At 43.5% G+C, this 17,978-nt stretch overlaps 1 long non-coding RNA gene across 1 annotated transcript; it reads left to right on the forward strand.

Annotated features, from left to right (window-relative positions):
• The first annotated feature begins 1,163 nt into the window (after nucleotides 1-1,163).
• Nucleotides 1,164-3,645, forward strand: LOC124907883 (uncharacterized). The gene is made up of 2 exons (XR_007087225.1): nucleotides 1,164-1,591; nucleotides 2,057-3,645. It is a non-coding gene; the product is annotated as an uncharacterized LOC124907883 (long non-coding RNA).
• The last annotated feature ends 14,333 nt before the right edge of the window (nucleotides 3,646-17,978 follow it).

The raw sequence follows: 17,978 nt of genomic DNA on the forward strand, positions 1-17,978 counted from the left end.
CCTGGTCACCTGAGGCAGAAAATAAACATTTCTTCCTACAAAGAATGTGGGCATTTTCCAGTGGGATTTGTGAGCCAGCAAAGACTTAGCAGCAGTTTCTTCACTGCCAAAAATCTCTAACTTTCCATGATGAAAAACTATTGTTGTCATTGACCGGCTTTACGAAATATTGGCTTACGTTTTAATCATCTGTTGAGCATCAGGCACTATCCTGGGCACCTGTGAATCCATTTGGTCCTCGCAGCTATTCTATGACATGGGCACATTATCCTCCTTCACAGATGAAGAAACAAGTTAAAGAGATGTTCCCAAAAGAGTTAAGTTAGGAGCAAAGTTAATACTTGAACCCAAATCTGTTTCCAGGGTTTTTATGCCTTTCACTACACCTGCTTTGCAGGAAAGTGATGAGAATTTCTAGTAGACGCTGAGTAGGGGCGGTGCTGCACGGCACTCACTGTTTCTGAGATACTGGTGATGGGACAGATAACCGAGAAGGAGACACTGGTGAATTCTGAAAGGAAGGTGTGCCTCAGCAAAGGCCGCAGGGGAAGACAGGAGGTTCGCTCGCTCACCTTTATTTGGAAAGCCTTCCTCCCACATTCCCTAGCAATGCTAGTCAGTCCCAGGGGTTTGGATGGGGCTGGCTGCCCGTGGCCCCTGATCCAGGGGTTGGGGGCATTGTTGGGAGCAGAGTCCTCCATGGGACTTCTGCTAGAGCAATCAGTGCAGACGTGCTCTTGTTTGGGGATTGCGATCTGAAGGCCCCCAGAAGCTTGCGACTGCAGGCAGCCATCTGTCCAGAGACCACCTAATCAAGAAACCCCTGACACCCTCATAGGAGACGCCTGCCATCCAGCTGTACCTAGAGGAGATCTACCACCCCCTCTGTAACTTTCAGTTTTGTGAATCAGCACATTCATTCTCTCTCTCTCTCGATCTCTCTCTCTCTCTCCAAAGTGGCATTTGTCTAGATGGCTCAGAGTGTGGTCCTCAATCTTGCAGATTCGGATTCAGTTCTGGGACAGCCTCACTAAATTGCCCTTTTCCAGCCTGTTTCCTCCCTGTAGACATTGGCAGGGTGCCTGGCAAGCCCAGCCCAGGCTCTTGTCTGTGACAGATCTGTCACCTTTTAACTCTTTCCCAGGCTTCCTTGTTTACATTAACATGTTTCCAGCCAGAGCGGAGAGCCGTAAACATCTTGAGGGCTGGGGCGGTGTCTGACTCATGGCTGGATTCCCCCAAGCCAATGCAGAGCGGGAACCTAGCGACACTCAAACACGTTTAAGAGTAAATTTCTGTTTGAGTCACCAAAGTAAAGAAATCCAGTCCCCAGTACCAATTGAAATAAACCACAAAACACTTTGCCGAATGGAAACTTGTTCTGCAATGGTAAAGCATGACTTTAACTTTAGCCAAATTACTTCCCAGGAGTTAAACTAACTCATGATCTCACTGTCCACTGAAAAAAACTGTTCTTAGTCTGTTTGAGCCATTGTAATATAGACTGGGTAACTTGTACACAGCAGACATCTATTTCTCCCAGGTCTGGAGGCTGGGCATCTGAGATCGGGACCAGCATGGTTAGGTTCTGGTGAGTGCTCCCTTCCAGGCTGCAGACAGCTGTCTTCTCGCTGTGTCCTCATGTGGTGGGAGGGCAAGCGAGCTTTCTGGGGCCTTTTTAATAAAGGCACTAATCCCACTCATAAGGGCACCATCCTCATGACCTAATCACCTCCTAAAGGACCCACCTCCTCATACCATCATCTTGGGAGTTAGGATTTTAACCAATTAAATTTGGGGCTGTCTTCTCGCTGTGTCCTCACGTGGTGGGAGGGCAAGCGAGCTTTCTGGGGCCTTTTTAATAAGGGCACTAATCCCACTCATAAGGGCACCACCCTCATGACCTAATCACCTCCTAAAGGACCCACCTCCTCATACCATCATCTTGGGAGTTAGGATTTTAACCAATTAAATTTGGGGGACACAAACATTCAGACCACAGCAGCTGTGGTGCAGACTTTGCCAAGGTCTAGTGCCTCCTTCTGTCATCTTGCAGGTGCAGCCCAGAGCAGCAGGAGCTGTGCCCTGGCCCCTGTCCTGAGGAGCTCCCACTGGTCAGCCCCGCCTACTCCAGCTGGACCTTGATGCTTCACACAAGGTGTGCGCAGAGGACACAGGCACTTCATGGAGCAACATACTTTTGTAAAAAAAATGAATTCCCTTGTAACAAATAGAGCACGGAGGCTTTTATAGATTAAGTAATTTGTAGTCTTCTTATAATTATGGCTTCTAAATTACCTAAAATAATTCATTCAAGGCTTGATTTTAGTTTTGTCTTGAGAGTGTCAACTCTTTAACTTGAGATGCTGTAGGATGGGGTTTCATCTTGGGATTCTTTTCTTGGATATGTCATTTAAATTCTGATACTTATATTCCCTATTTGAAAACACATGATCAATGACAATACCAATACCTGATTTGTGTGCAATACTTATAATTTACAACGTACATTATTTTAACATACATTCTTTTCATGCGACCCTCTCAACAACCCTTTGACAAGGCAAGTCAGAGACTAATTACTAGAGATTATTCAAGCGACTTGCTCCAAGTCATACAGTAGGCAGGCAGCCAAGATGACTCTAGTTTTTCCAACTCCTAGTCCCACACTCTTTCCTCTCCCCTTACATGTTCTGATATAAATCAAACTTAGGTTTGAAAATATCTTATTGATGTATTTCAACACCCCAGAATTTGATGAGACTGGAATCGATTTGTTGTGATCTGTGATTGCTGAATTCCTCGTATGTGGTGGATACCAAGGTAAGTTGACTAGAATGTGAGCTTGCCTACCCAGACACCAGTTCCCATGTCCTTTGTCCGGTGGTATAATTTGAAGTTCACTCTTTTTGGTGTACAGTTTTATGAGTTGAGTTGTGAAAAACATATACAGTTGTGTATCCACCACTACAGTCAAGATATAGAACAGTTCCATTACCTCAAAAATTTTTTTCAGGCCGGGCGCAGTGGCTCACGCCTGTAATCCCAGCACTTTAGGAGGCCAAAGCGGGCGGATCACGAGGTCAGGAGATCGAGACCATCCTGGCTAACGCTGTGAAACCATGTCTCTACTAAAAATACAAAAAAATTAGCCAGGCGTGGTGGCAGGTGCCTGTGGTCCCAGCTACTTGGGAGGCTGAGGCAAGAGAACCGCTTGACCCTGGGAGGCAGAGGTTGCGGTGAGCCAAGATCGCGCCACTGCACTCCAACCTGGGCGACAGAGCGAGAGTCCATCTCAAAAAGAAAACATCATACTCTTTTGTAGTCAACCCTAGCTAGGCCCCTATAGTTTTGCCTTTCCCAAAGTATCTTATGCATGGAATCATCCAGGAGATAACCTCCTGAATCAGGCTTCTGTCTCTTAGCATAATGCATTTGGGATTTACCATGTTATTTCATTTATCAGGTTTTTGTCCCTTTTCATTGCTGAGTAGTATTTCATTATAGGAATGTACTCTCGTTTGTGGATCATTCTGATCAACTCAGCACATGTGGATTATTTCCAGTCTTGGCAATGATGAATAAAGTCACTCTAAGCATTCACGTACAGGTTTTTGCATGAATAAAATACCTAGGAGTGAGAAAGCTGGACTCACAGTACATTTTTATTCCCTCAATGCTTTCCTGCCCCGTTTAGGGCTGATTTCATCATGCTTTGATCTCATCTTAGTCAACTGATGGGTCAGCATTGAGCCCACAAGAGGCTTCATGGCTTCCTGGTAAAGCGAGAGACCCCTGGAAGACTGATTCTAGAACAGGGTATGTGCATTCCTGCTGCCAAGCCCTGCTGCACCGTTCCTCATTACTCAATTAATGTCTGGTGTCTTCTCTGCCTGTTTAATTACTCCCATTACCGGGACAGGTCAAGTTCCACTCCTTCAGGGAAGCTCCTTCTGGCCACCTCACAGCACAGAACATGCCGTCTCTTTCCAAATCACTTTGCATCTGTCTTCTGCCACGCCATCCTGCTTTGTGACATCTTTGAGATTGGTGTCTGTGTTTTTCTGCATTAAACCTTGAGGGCTTTGTAGGTACAGGACTGGGATCCCCATTGCACAGATGTGGAAATTGAGGCCAGAGAGGCTAAGTGACTAAGAGAAGGTAGCATTTGCTGATCACCCACTATCATATGCCATCAGGCCTCCCATTAACAGTACACAGTCCGCTCTTCTTTAGATGAGAACACTGATACTCAGAGAGGTGCAGTTATTTGCCCAAGTCACACAGCTGGGCACTGAAAGCTGGTTTCATTTGGCTTCAAACTTAGATCTGTCTGTGGCATATCTGGGCTTTGAGCACCCTGTAGCATGAGGCTGTAGTGCACTCGGCTTTAGAATGGACAGGGGCCTGTCTTCCCACACGCTCCAGGCTGCACCACCTTTTGGTTTTTAGGCTAACTCCTGACCTGAGCCCTCCCCACCTTCCTGGGCAGAGAGTGAACCAGGCTGACTGATGTTCTAGGCAAGAATGTGGGGTACCCAGGGATGACCATTGTGCTGGGTATGGGAGCCAGAGTTCAGCCCTGACTGCTATGGTCTGAATATTTCCCTCCAAATTCATGCATTGGAAACTTAATCCCCAGTGCAGCAGTATTGGGAGGTGGGGCTTAATGGGAGGTGTTTAGATAATGAGGCTTCAGCCTCATGAATGAATGAATGCTGCTATAAAAATGGGTTTGTAGGCCAGGTGAAGTGGCTCACGCCAGTAATTCCAACATTTTGGCAGGCCAGAGCAGAAGGGTATTCTAGGGTATTCACTGTGTTGCCCAGGAACTCTAGACCATCCTGGGCAACACAGTGAGACCTCATAAAAAAAACATTAGCCCAGCATGGTGGCACGTGCCTGTAGTCCCAGCTACTCGGGAGGCTGTGGCAGGAGGATTGCTTCAGCCCAGGAGTTTGAGGCTACAGTGAACCATGATTGTGCCATTGCACTTCAGCCTGGGCAACAGAGCAAGACCCCATCTCTAAAAATAAAAATAAAGTTTGAAAAAGAATTTGTGGAAGTGGATTCACCCTTTCTGCCTTCCGCCCTGTGAGGACACAGAAAGAAGGCCCTCATCTGATGCTGGTGCCTTAATCTTGGACTTCCCAACCTCCAGAACTGTGAGAATACAAATTTCTGTTCCTTAAAAAATGACTCAGTCTGTGGTGTCCTGTTATAGCAGCACAAACAGACTAAGATAGTACCCTTTCCCTTCCCATGTGCCCAGGGACAGGCTTCCAGAGGAGCCCAGCAGCTAACTGGGAGCCCCTGGGTTTGCAGTGTGGGGAGCTCCCAGAACAGCTGTGCCTGCAGGAAATTGGAGGAGGAGAAAATATTCTGGTTTACTCTCTATTCAGTCACCTTCTGCAGCTCAGGCTTTTGATGTCTACCATTGCATTGTTTTTCTTTTACCTATAATCTTTGTAAAGATCCACAGTCCCCCACCTAGACGTGAGAATCAATATCTCTCCATAAAATCACCCTAACTCTATGGCAGCCCGACATCTTTGTTAGACCAGTGGGAAAAGCTACATAGGTTTCCACCATCCATGAGAGTCTTCTCAGCCTTAGGCTAGGCCCTGAAGTCAGGGAGTTAGGTGCTGAAATGTGCACAGCTGAAGGTAAGCCACCAACAGGGTGAGCCAGATCCACTAACAACTCAACTGGCCTCCTTTGAACTGTGAAAGGAAAAGTGTTATAATAATAACTATCATTTATTGTGCATCTACGATATACCAGGCATTATACAAAACACTACAGTTTGTCAATTAATTCTCATAAAAGTCCTATGAGGCAAATGTTCCTATTTTTATTTTATATTTTATAGCTGGAGAAAATGACACACAGGCTCTCTAGCCTGACCATGGCCCTCAGTCAATAAGCAGTACAGTTAAAGTTCAAACCCACGTCTCGGGCTCCAAGCCCAGACATTTAGCAAACACTGTGTGCTCACAGCTAAGCTTTCATAACAGAGCACTGGGGACAATGTATGGGGAATAAATGCTCTCTTCGAAGATGCCCTAGCATTCTGTGATGCAATATTGTGTGACTGAAAGAAACAGTAGTGTAGGAATTGGAAGACTGGATCTTAGTTTGTGGCAGGATTGTACCTTACTATATGACCTTGGGGAATTCACCCAAACTGCTTTTGCCTCCATTTCCTATTTGATTTCTCCATTATTCAGAGCATGAGGAAGATCTGAAGAATATATCTAAATTCCAAAATTAAATCCAAACATCTCTCCTGAGAAAACCTTCTCTTTTTTTTTTTTTGAGAAGGAGTCTTTCTCTGCCACCCAGGCTGGAGTGCAGTGGCACAAGCTCAGCTCATTGCAACCTCCGCCTCCCAGGTTCAAGCAATTCTCCTGCCTCAGCCTCCCGAGTAGCTGGGACTACAGGTGTGTGCCACCACACCTGGCTAATTTTTGTATTTTTAGTAGAGACGGGGTTTCACCATGTTGGCCAGGCTGGTCTCAAACTCTTGACCTCGTGATCCGCCTGCCTCGGCCTCCCAAAGTGGTGGGATTACAGGCATGAGCCACCGTGCCTGGCCAAAAACCTTCTTTAAGATGAGAAACTTGTGAGGCAGTAGAACGTCTCATCATTAATAAAGATTGACTGTGGAGATCTTTAAAAAAAAAAATCCAGATAAGAAACTGGAAGGAGTAAAAGATCATTTGTTTACATCCAACACATAACTTTCCTAGCAAGTACTCCTACCTGGGACAACCCCACACTCCATGGAAGAGGCAGAAACACAGACAAGAATGTGCCTCAAATGGCTCCAAATGCTGCCAGCATCCAGCAAATGCTGCTGACAAAAGAGCAGAGAGTTGGGCTACAGGTAGGCCAACCACTGTCTTGGAGCAGGAGTCCTGGTGGGAGGTGGGCATGTTATTGTGATGGATGACTTCCAACGTCACCTGTAGTATGGAGAAGCTCTGCTATTTCAGCACTGAGCCCTCACTGTTCCCCATTTCTTCCTGGGCTCTCTTCTTGTTGGCCACTTCCAGGCAGAGGGGGAAAGCACCAAGAGCCTTTGAAAATCACAGAATAGATTCAAACCCTGAGTTTCTCAATTACCAGCTATTTGGCTGGACATCTTAGTCAGCCTCTCTGAGCCACCGTCTCCTTGCGTGGACCATGGAGATGGTAACAATTGAATGCTGGTAGAGGGCACTCATAAACCCATAAAGTCATAGTTCATGATGAAGGACTGAAGTCTTCCCCCAAGGCCAGGTGCAAGACAGGCACCTCTGCTGTTGCCATTTCTATGCAACATTGTACTGGGATCCTAGTCAGGGCAATTACATGAGCAAAAGAAATAAAAGAAATTAGTGTTGAAAAGGAAGAAGTAAAACTTCAGTTTTGCAAACAACATAATCTTGTATGTATAAAATTGTAAGAACCACCCACAAACACACATAAAATGCTATTAGAGCTAATAAACAAGTTCAGCAAAGCTGCAGGACACATGGTCAATAAACAATGCTGGTTGTATCTCTACCTACTAGCAACGAACAATCTGGAAATGAAATGAAGAAAATAACTTCACTTACAATAGCATCAAAAAAATAACACACTTACTTAAGAATAAATTTAACAAAAGAAGTACAAGACTTAGACTTTGAAAGCCATGAAACATTGCTGAAAGAAATATTTAAGACCTACATTAATGGAAAGACATCTCATTTAGTACATGAATTGGGAGACCTAATCTTACTAATCTTACTAATGCTCCTCAAATTGATATACTCTTACAATGTAATCCCTATCAAAATTCCAGCTGCCCTTTTTGCAGTAATTGGCAATTTGATTATAAAATATGTATGGCAATGCGAGGGACCCAGAATAGCCAAAAACATTCTTGAAAAGGAAGAACAAGGCCGGGCGTGGTGGCTCACGCCTGTAATCCCAACACTTTGGGAGGCCGAGGCAGGCGGATCACGAGGTCAGGAGATTGAGACCATCCTGGCTAACACAGTGAGACTCCGTCTCTACTAAAAAAGAAAATACAAAAAATTAGCCGGGTGTGTTGGTGGGCGCCTGTAGTCCCAGCTACTTGGGAGGCTGGGGCAGGAAAATGGCGTGAACCCAGGAGGCAGAATTGCAGTGAGCCCTTGAGCCGAGATCGCGCCACTGCACTCTAGCCTGGGCAACAGTGTGAGACTCCGTCACAAAACAAAAAAAAAGGAAGAACAAAGTTGAAGGACTCATACATCCTCATTTCAAAACTTACTAAAACTTGCGTCATAGCTACAATACTCCAGATGACATGGTACTGGCATGCAGATAGACATCTACATCAGAGGAATAGAATTGAGAGTCCAGAAATAACCCCATAGATCTATGATCAATTTCTTTTATGGTCAATTTCTTTTATTTATTTATTTACTTATTTACTTACTTACTTTTTAGAGATGAGGTCTTGCTATGTTGACCAGGCTGGTCTCAAACTCCTAGCCTCAAGCGATCCTCCCGTCTTGGCCTCCCAAAGTGCTAAGATTACAGGTGTAAGCCACCACACCTGGCCCAATTTCATTTTTGACAAAGATGCCAACACAGTTAAATGGAGAAAGAATAGTCTTTTCAACAAATGGTACTGGGACGACTGGATATCCACATGCAAAAGAATGAAGCTGGGCTTCTACCTCATACCATATATAAAAATTAACTCAAAATAGACCAAAGGCCTAAATATAAGAGACAAAACTATAAAATCCTTAGAAGAAAATGTAAGAGTAAATGTTTGTGACCTTGGATTACACAATGGTTTCTTAGGTAAGACACTTAATGCAAGTACAAGAAAAGAAAGGCTAGGTAGGCGCAGTGGCTCACGCCTGTCATCCCAACAATTTGGGAGGCCAAGGCGAGTGGATCACTTGAGGTCAGGAGTTCAAGACCAGTCTGGCCAACATGGCGAAACACCATCTCTACTAAAAATACAAAAATTAGCCGGGCGTGGTGGCGGGTGCCTGCAATCCCAGCTACTTGAGAGGCTGAGGCACAAGAATTGCTTGAACCCAGGAGGCAGATGTTGCAGTGAGCTGAGATCGCACCACTGCACTCCAGCCTGGACGACAGAGCAAGACTCTGTCTCAAAAAAAAAAAAAAAAAGGAAAGAAAGAAAAGAAAAAGTAGGTAAGTTGGAGCTCACTACAATTTAAAACTTTTGTGCTTCTGGGCCAGGTACAGTGCTTCATGCCTGCAATCCCAGCACTTTGGGAGGCCGAGGCTGGCGGATCACGAGGTCAGGAGTTCGAGACCAAACTAGCCAACATAGTGAAACCTTGTCTCCACTAAAAAAAAAAAAAAAGAAAAGAAAATTAGCAGGGCATGGTGGTGCGTGCCTGTAATCCCAACTACTCAGGAGGCTGAGGCAGGAGAATCACTTGAACCCGGGAGGCAGAGGTTGCAGTGAGCTGAGATTGTGCCATGACACTCCAGCTGGGGCGACAATGCAAGACTCCGAGAGAGAGAGAGAAAAAAGAAAGAAAGAAAAAGAAAGAAAGAAAGAAAAAAAGAAAGAAAGAAAGAAAGAAGGAAGGAAGGAAGGAAGGAAGGAAGGAAGGAAGGAACAAAGAAAGAAAGGAGGGCGGGAGGAAGGAAGGAAGAAAGGAAGGAGAAAGAGAGGAAGGAAGGAAGGAAGGAAGAAAGGAAGGAAGGAAGGAAGGAGAAGAAAGAAAGAAAGAAAGACAACCAGACTTCCAGTTTTCAGTCTGGCGTGTAAAAAGTTTGGGAGTCGTCATTCCCACCCTAACAACAAGAAAGAAGTTTGACAAGCTGAAAATCAACTGCTCTTCTTAGATCCTGCAGATAATTGAGGTCATAGGGTAAATTACTGTCTTACAAATTGGAGAGACAGATGGCAGATACAAAGAATCATGACTTGATTCACTACTTGAGTGGAAGCTCAAGAGCAGAAACCTTTATGGGAACCAGTACCAGGGTAGGAAAACTTAAACTGCAATTGCTGAATTGCTAGAGGCTCTGTTTGGACTGCTTGAGAGTTAAAAACTCCAGGGAGCCCAGTCTTAGGGGGGCCCCAACACTTGTCTGAGTTTTACTTCCAGAAGGCTTACCAGGTCATCAAGGTGAAGAGAAAAATCCCTTGGTATTTCTGTCAGTGGGGAGGGTGAAATAAGCCAGGGCATTCTATTGTTAATAAAGCCTGCCCTCAAGAGAAATGAGTTTACCAGAGCTTAACTGAGGTTTTACTAACGCTAATTGTCCTGGGGAAAGGGAAATATCCTAGTCTAGTCCCTTCTAGCTATCCTGTCCCAACAAAGGGGGAGACACTGAGAAGTACTTGTGAAGGTCACAGCACAGGAACACAGGCTCATTAAAAGACTGAGATTTAATCAAAGAACTAGAGAAGGTTTGTTCTGCCCCCACATCTTACCAGCACATCAACAGGGCTTCTGTGCAACAGAGGAGACAAAACTAACATTAGAGGAACTTTTAATATCTCTGAAACATACAGGTACATCAAATAATCAAAACAGCTTAACTCTTTGTCAAATACACATAAAGCATCATACCAAAGGCCTATTTGCCTAGGTTCTTTTTCTCAGTACCTAATGTCTGGCTTCCAACAAAAAATTACAAGGCATCCTATAAGACAAAAAATGTTTTAAAGAAACAAGGTAACCATCAAAACAAGATTCAGATGTGGCAAAGATGTTGGGATTATCAGACTGTGAATTTAAAAACACTATAATTAATATGCTAAGAGCTCTAATAGAAAAAATGAACCATATGCAATGAGAGATGGATACTGCAAGCATAGTGATGGAAACAATAAGGAAGAATCAAAAGGAAAGAAACGCTAGAAATAAAGAACACTGTCATGGAAATAATGCATTTGATGGGCTTTTAAATAGACTGGACACATGGCCGGGCGCAGTGGCTCATGTCTGTAATCCCAGCACCTTGGGAGGCTGTGGTGGCCAGATCACCTGAGGTCAGGAGTTTGAGACCAGCCTGGCCAACATAGTGAAACCCTGCCTCTACTAAAAATACAAACGTAAGCTGGACATGGTGGCACATGCCTGTAATCCCAGCTACTCAGGAGGCTGAGGCAGGAGAATCACTTGAACCTGGGAGGCAGATGTTGCAGTGAGCTGTGATCATGCTATTGCACTCTAGCCTGGGTGACAGAGCAGGATTCCATCTCAAAAAAAGTTAAAAAAAAAAAAAATAGACTGGACACAGCCAAAGAAAGAATCACTGAGCTTGAAGACATGTCAATAGAAACTTCAAAAACTAAATGGTAAGAGAAAAAATAATTTTAAAAAGCAGAACAGAACATCCAATAACTGTGGGACAATTTTAAATGGTGTGACATATGCATAATGAATATCAAAACAAGAAAAAAAAGAAACAGAAAAAATATTTGAAGTAATAATGACTGAGAATTTTCCAAAATGAATGACAGACACCAAACCCCAGATTCAGAAGCTCAGGAAATCAAAGAGGATAAATACCAAAAAAATTTACACCTAGATATAGCATATTCAAACCACAGATAATCAAAGACAAAGAGACAATTTTGAATTAAGTCAAAGGGAAGAAAACACTGTACCTATGAGGAGCAAGTATAATAATTAATCAGAGTTCTCTTCATAGGCCACGCAAGTAAGAAGAGCTTGGAGCAAAATATTTTAAGTGTTGACAGAAACAACAACAAACACCACCACCAGAATCCTATACCCAGAAATATTATCCTTGAAAAGTAAAGGAGAAATAAAGACTTTCACAGACAAACAAAATTGAGAAAACTTGTCACAATTGACATACCTTGCAAGAAATGTTGAAATTCCTCAGAAAGAAAGAAAATAGTATACATCAGTGATATGGTTAGACTTTGTATCCCCGCCCAAATCTCATCTCGAATTGTAAGCCCCATTATCTCCTCATGTCAAGGGAGAGACCAGATGGAAATAAATGAATCATGGGGGCAGTTTCCCCCATGCTATTCTCATGATAGTGAATTCTCATGAGCTGATAATTTTATAAGGGGCTCTTCCCCCTTTGCTCAGCACTTCTCCTTTCTGCCTCCTTGTGAAGAAGGCACCTTGCTTCCCCTTTGCCTTCTGCCATGATTGTAAGTTTCCTGAAGCCTCCCCAATCGTGCTGAACTGTGAGTCAATTAAACCTCTTTCCTTTATAAATTACCCAGTCTTAGGCAGTTCTTTATAGCAGTATAAAAACGGACTAATACAGTAAATTGTTACCAGAAGTGGGGTGCTGCTATAAAGATACTGAAAATGTGGAAGCAACTTTGGAACTGGGTAACAGGCAGAGGTTGGAACAGTTAAGAGGGCTCAGAAGATGACAGAAGGATGTGGGAAACTTTAAAACTTCCTAGAGATTTATTAAATAGCTTTGACCAAAATGCTGATAGTGATATGGACAATGAAGTCCAGCCTGAGGTGGTCTCAGATGGAGATGAGGAACTTGTTGGGAACTAGAATAAAGGTGACTCTTGCTATGCTTTAGCAAAGAGACTGGTGGCATTTTGCCCCTGGCCTGGAGATCTGTGGAATTTTGAACTTGAGAGAGATGATTTAAGGTATCCAATGGAAGAAATTTCTAAGCAGCAAAGTATTCAAGAGGTGACCTGGGTGCTGTTAAAAGTGTTTGATTTTATGCATTCCCAAAGAGATGGTTTGGAATTGGAACTTCATGTTTGAAAGAGAAGCAGAGCATACACGTTTGGATAATTTGCAGCCTGATGATGCAATAGAAAAGAAAAACCCATTTTCTGAGGAGAAATTCAAACCGGCTTCAGAAGTATGCATAAGTGACAAGGAGCCAAATGTTAATAACCAAGACAATGGGGAAAATGTCTCCAGGACATGTCAGAGGTGTTCACAGCAGCTCCTCCCATCACAGGCCTAGAGGCCTAGAAGGAAAAAATGGCTTCATGGGCTGGGCCCAGGGTCTTGTTGCTTTATGCAGTCCTGGGAGTTGGTGCCCTGCATCCCAGCTGTGGCTAAAAAGGGCCAAGGCACAGCTCGGGCCATGGCTTCACAGGATGCAAGCCCCAGGCCTTGATGGCTTACATGTGTTGTCGGGCCTGCAGGTGCACAGAAGTCAAGAATTGAGGTTTGGGGCCAGGCACAGTGGCTCATGCCTGTAATCCCAGCACTTTGGGAGGCCAAGGGGGATGGATCACATAAGGTCAAAAGTTCGAGACCAGCCTGGCAAACATAGTGAAACTCCGTCTCTACTAAAAATACAAAAATTAGCTGGGTATGATGGTGTGTGCCTGTAGTCCCAGCTACTTGGGAGGCTGAGATGGGAGAATCACTTGAACCTGGGAAGTGGAGGTTGCAGTGAGCCAAGATTGCACCACTGCACTCCAGCCTGGGCAACAGAGTGAGACTCTGTCTCAAAAACAAAAACAAAATTGAGGTTTGGGAGCCTCCACCTAGATTTTAGAGGATGTATGGAAATGCCTGGATGACCAGGCAGAAGTTTGCTGCAGGGGCAAGGCCTTCATAGAGAACCTCTGCTAGGGCAGTGCAAAAGGGAAATATAGGGTCAGAGCCCTGACAGAGTCCCCACTGGGGCACTGCCTAGTGGAGCTGTGAGAACAGGGCCACTGCCCTCCAGACCCCAGGATGGTAGGTCCACTGACTGCTTGCACCATGTACCCAGAAAAGCCACAGACACTCCATGCCAGCCCATGAAAGCAGCTGAGAGGAGGCCTGTTTCATCAGCATGATCTGGATGTGAAACATGGAGTCAAAGGAGGTCATTTCAGAGCTTTAAGGTTTGACTGTCCTGCTGGATTTCAGGCCTGCATGGGGCCTGTCATCCTTTTGTTTTGGCCAATGTCTCCTATTTGAAATGGGTGTATTTACCCAATGCCTGTACCCCCATTGTGTCTAGGAAGTACCTAATTTGCTTTTGACTTTACAGGCTCATAAGCGGAAGGGACTTCCCTTGTCTTAGATGAGACTTTGAACTTGGACTTTTGGGTTAATCCTAGAATGAACAAAGACTTTGGAGGACTGTTTGGAAGGCATGATTGGTTTTGAAATATGAAAGGGACATGAGATTTGGGAGGGGCCAGGGGCAAAATGATATGATTAGGCTTTGTGTCCCCCTACTCAAATCTCATCGTGAATTGTAATCCCCATAATCCCTACATGTCAAGGGAAAGACCGGATGGAGATAATTGAATCATAGGGGCTGTTTCCCCCATGTTGTTCTCATGACAGTGAGTGAGTTCTCACGAGATCTGATGGTTTTATAGAGTTCTTCCCCCTTTGCTTGGCACTTCTACTTCCGGACGCCTTGTGAAGAAGGTGCCTTGCTTCCCCCTTTGCCTTCTGCCATGATTATCAGTTTCCTGATGCCTCCCCAGCCATGCTGAATTGTGAGTCAATTAAACCTCTTTCCTTTATAAATTACCCAGTGTTGGGCACTTCTTTATAGCAGTATGAAAATGGACTAATACAATCAGAAACTCAGATCTACATAAATAATGAGTATTACAGAAGGAACTCATGAAGATAAAGTAAAATCTCTTATTTTTCTTATTCTCAATTGATATAACATAACAGTTTGTTCAAAACAAAAAGCTACAAAGTATCCAATGATTGTAGCTTATGGATAAGTGAAAATGACAGCAATGTTATTAAGATATGAAAGAGAAGAATTATGAATACTCAGTGGTTAGGTACTTGCACTACCTGTGAAGGGGTAGAGTATTATTTGAAAGAAGACTTGGATTCGTTGTAAATGTTTATTGCAATCTCAAGGGCAGCCACTAAAAAGGCAAACAAAAAAACATAATTTGGCCAGGGGTGGTGGCTTAAGCTTGCAATCCCAGCACTTTGGGAGGCCAAGGTAGGCAGATCACTTGAGGTCAGGAGTTCGAGACCAGCCTGACCAACATGGTGAAACCTGTCTCTACTAAAAATGCAAAAATTAGCCAGGCGTGGTGCAGCGCCTGTAATCGCAGCTACTCAGGAGGCTGAGGCAGGAGAATTGCTTGAGCCCAGGAAGGAGAGGTTGTAGTGAACCAAGATTGTGCCACTCCAGCCTAGATGATAGAGTGAGACTCTGTCTCAAAAAGGAAAGGATAATTTATATGCTAAGAGAGGAGAGAAAATGGAATTATATAAGTGCTCAATTAAAACCAGAGAAGGAGCTGGAGGTGGTAGCACACACCTGTAATCCCAGCACTTTGGGAGAACAAGGCAGGAGGATCACTTGAGGTCAAGAGCTTGATACCAGCCTGGGCTCACTCAACAAAGTGAGACCCCATCTCTACAAAAAATTTAAAAGCCACACATGCACACACACACAAACAACACAGAGAGAGAGAAAAGTCAGAAAAAGAGTGGAACAACAACAACAAAAAGAAACAAAGAATAAGACCAACAAATAGAAAATAGTAACAAATTATATTAGTCTGTTCTCCTGCTGCTATAGGACATACCCAGAACTGGTTTATTTATGAAGGAAAGAGGCTTAATTGACTCATAGTTCTGCAGGGCTGGGGAGGCCTCGGGAAACTTACAATCATGGCAGAAGGGAAAGCAAACACATCCTTCTTCACGTGGCAGCAGGAAGGAGAAGTGCAGAGCAAAGTGGGGGAAGTCCCTTATAAAATCATCAGCTCTCATGAGAACTCACTCACTATCACAGGAATAGCATGGAGGTAACTTCCCCATGATTCAGTTACCTCCCACTGGGTCCCTCCCATGACACATGGGGTTATGGGAACTAGAGTTCAAGATGAGATTTGGGTGGGGACACAGCCAAACCATATCAGTCTGTCCCTGGCTCTTGCCAAATCTCATGTCCTCACATTTCAAAACACAATCATGCTTGTCCAACTGTCCCCTAAAGTCTTAGCTCATTCCAGCATTAACCCAAAAGTCCAAGTCCAAAGTCTCATCTGAGACAAGACAAGTCCCTTCCGCTTCTGAGCCTAAATGGAAAGCAAGTTAGTTGCTTCCTAGATACAATGGGGATACAGGAAATGGGTAAATACAACTCTTCTGAATGGGAGAAATTGGCCAATACATAGGAGCCACTGGCCCCATGCAAGTCTGAAATCCAACAGGGCTGTCATTAAACCTTAAAGTTGCAAAATGATCTTCTTTGACTCCAAGTTTCACATCCAGGTCATGCTGATGCAAGTGGGGGGCTCCCATCTTCTTGGGCAACTCTGTCCCCATGATTTTGCAGGGTACAGCCTCCCTCCCAGCTGCCTTCAAGGGCTGGTGTTGAGTGTCTGCAGCTTTTCGAAACACAGAGTGCAAGCTGTCAGTGGATCTACCATTCTGGGGTCTGGACTATGGTGGCCCTCTTCTCACAGTTCCACTAGGCAGTGCCCCAATGGGGACTCTGTGGGGCTCTGACCCCACGTTTCCCTTCCACACTGCCCTAGCAGGGGTTCTCCATGAGGGCTCCACCCCTGCAGCAAACTTCTGACTGGACAGTTATTTCTTACAGTTATGGAAGCTGAGAAGGCCAAGATCAAGGGAATGCATCTGGTGAGAGTCTTCTCACTAGTGGGGACTCTGCAGAGTCCCAAGACAGTGCAGGGTATCATATAGCAAGGGGGCTAAGCATGCTAACATACTAAATCAGGTCTCTCCCATCTGATAAAGCCACCAGCTCCACTCCAATGATAACCCATTAATCCATTAACCCATGATTAATCCATGTGTGAGGGCAGAGCCCTCATGATCCAATGACCTCTTAAAGGCCCCACCTTTCAATAGTGCTACACTAGGGATGAAGTCTCCAACACATAAAATTTGGGGGACACATTCAAACTATGAGCAGTATGCTATCTGATGACAACAGAATGAAACTAGGAATCAATAACAGAAAAATAGCTAGAAAACTCCTAAATATTTGAAGATTACCACAACATACTTCTAAATAACTCATGGATCAAAGAATTCTCAAGATAAATTTTAAAATATTTCAAATTAAACAAAAATGAAAATAAAGGTTATCAAAATTTGTGGGATGCAGCAAAAGCAGTGCTTAAGAGGAAATTTATAGCATTGAGTGTACATATCAGAACAGAATGAAGACCTAAAATCAATAATCTAAGTTTCCACCTTAGGAAACTAAAAAAGAAGAGCAAATTAAATCTAAAGTAGTAAGGAAAATAGTTATAAAAGCTAGAGATAGAAAATAATAAAAAATGAAAGCAGAAATTAATGAGATAAAGAATTTTAAAACAATAGATCCAATTACAATAGATGCAATTAAAATCTGTAATTTTGGGGGAAAATAAAATAGACAAATTACGACCTATATTTACTCAAGAAAAAGAGAAAAAGTACAAATGCACAAAATAAGAAATATCAAATGGGGAAATAACCATTGAAACAGAAGGTATTTTTAAAAACATAACGGGGCTACTTTTCAGACCTCTGTGAAAATACTGACAATCTATATGAAGTGGATAACTTTAAGAGAGATAGAATGTATTGAAATTGACCCCATTTAGAGACAAACAGTTTAAACAGACTAATTTACTTCGAAGAAACAGAGATAATTATCAAGGAACTTTCACATTAAAAAACAAAAACAAAAACAAACAAACAAAAAAACCTCATGGTCTCACAAGGTTTTCTACCAAATCTTCAAAGACCAGGCAGTCACAGTACTTCACAAGTTTTTCCAGATCATTGGGAATGAAGGAACATTCCTGAACTGTTTTTAGAAAATAAGTATAGCATTAACAACTAAACTTGATAAAAACAGCAAAAAAAGAAAATTACAAATATCACTTACGAATATTCATGAAAAAGTTCTAAATAAAACCCTATTTAACAGAATACAACACCACACTATGAAAATGATACAACATAACCAAGTGGGATTTGTTCCTGGAATGCACACTGGCTAAATATTAATAAGTGAACTAACACACTGTATTTACAGAT

Source organism: Homo sapiens, chromosome 2 (assembly GCF_000001405.40).
Source record: "Homo sapiens chromosome 2, GRCh38.p14 Primary Assembly".
Classification (NCBI taxonomy): Eukaryota; Metazoa; Chordata; class Mammalia; order Primates; family Hominidae; genus Homo; species Homo sapiens.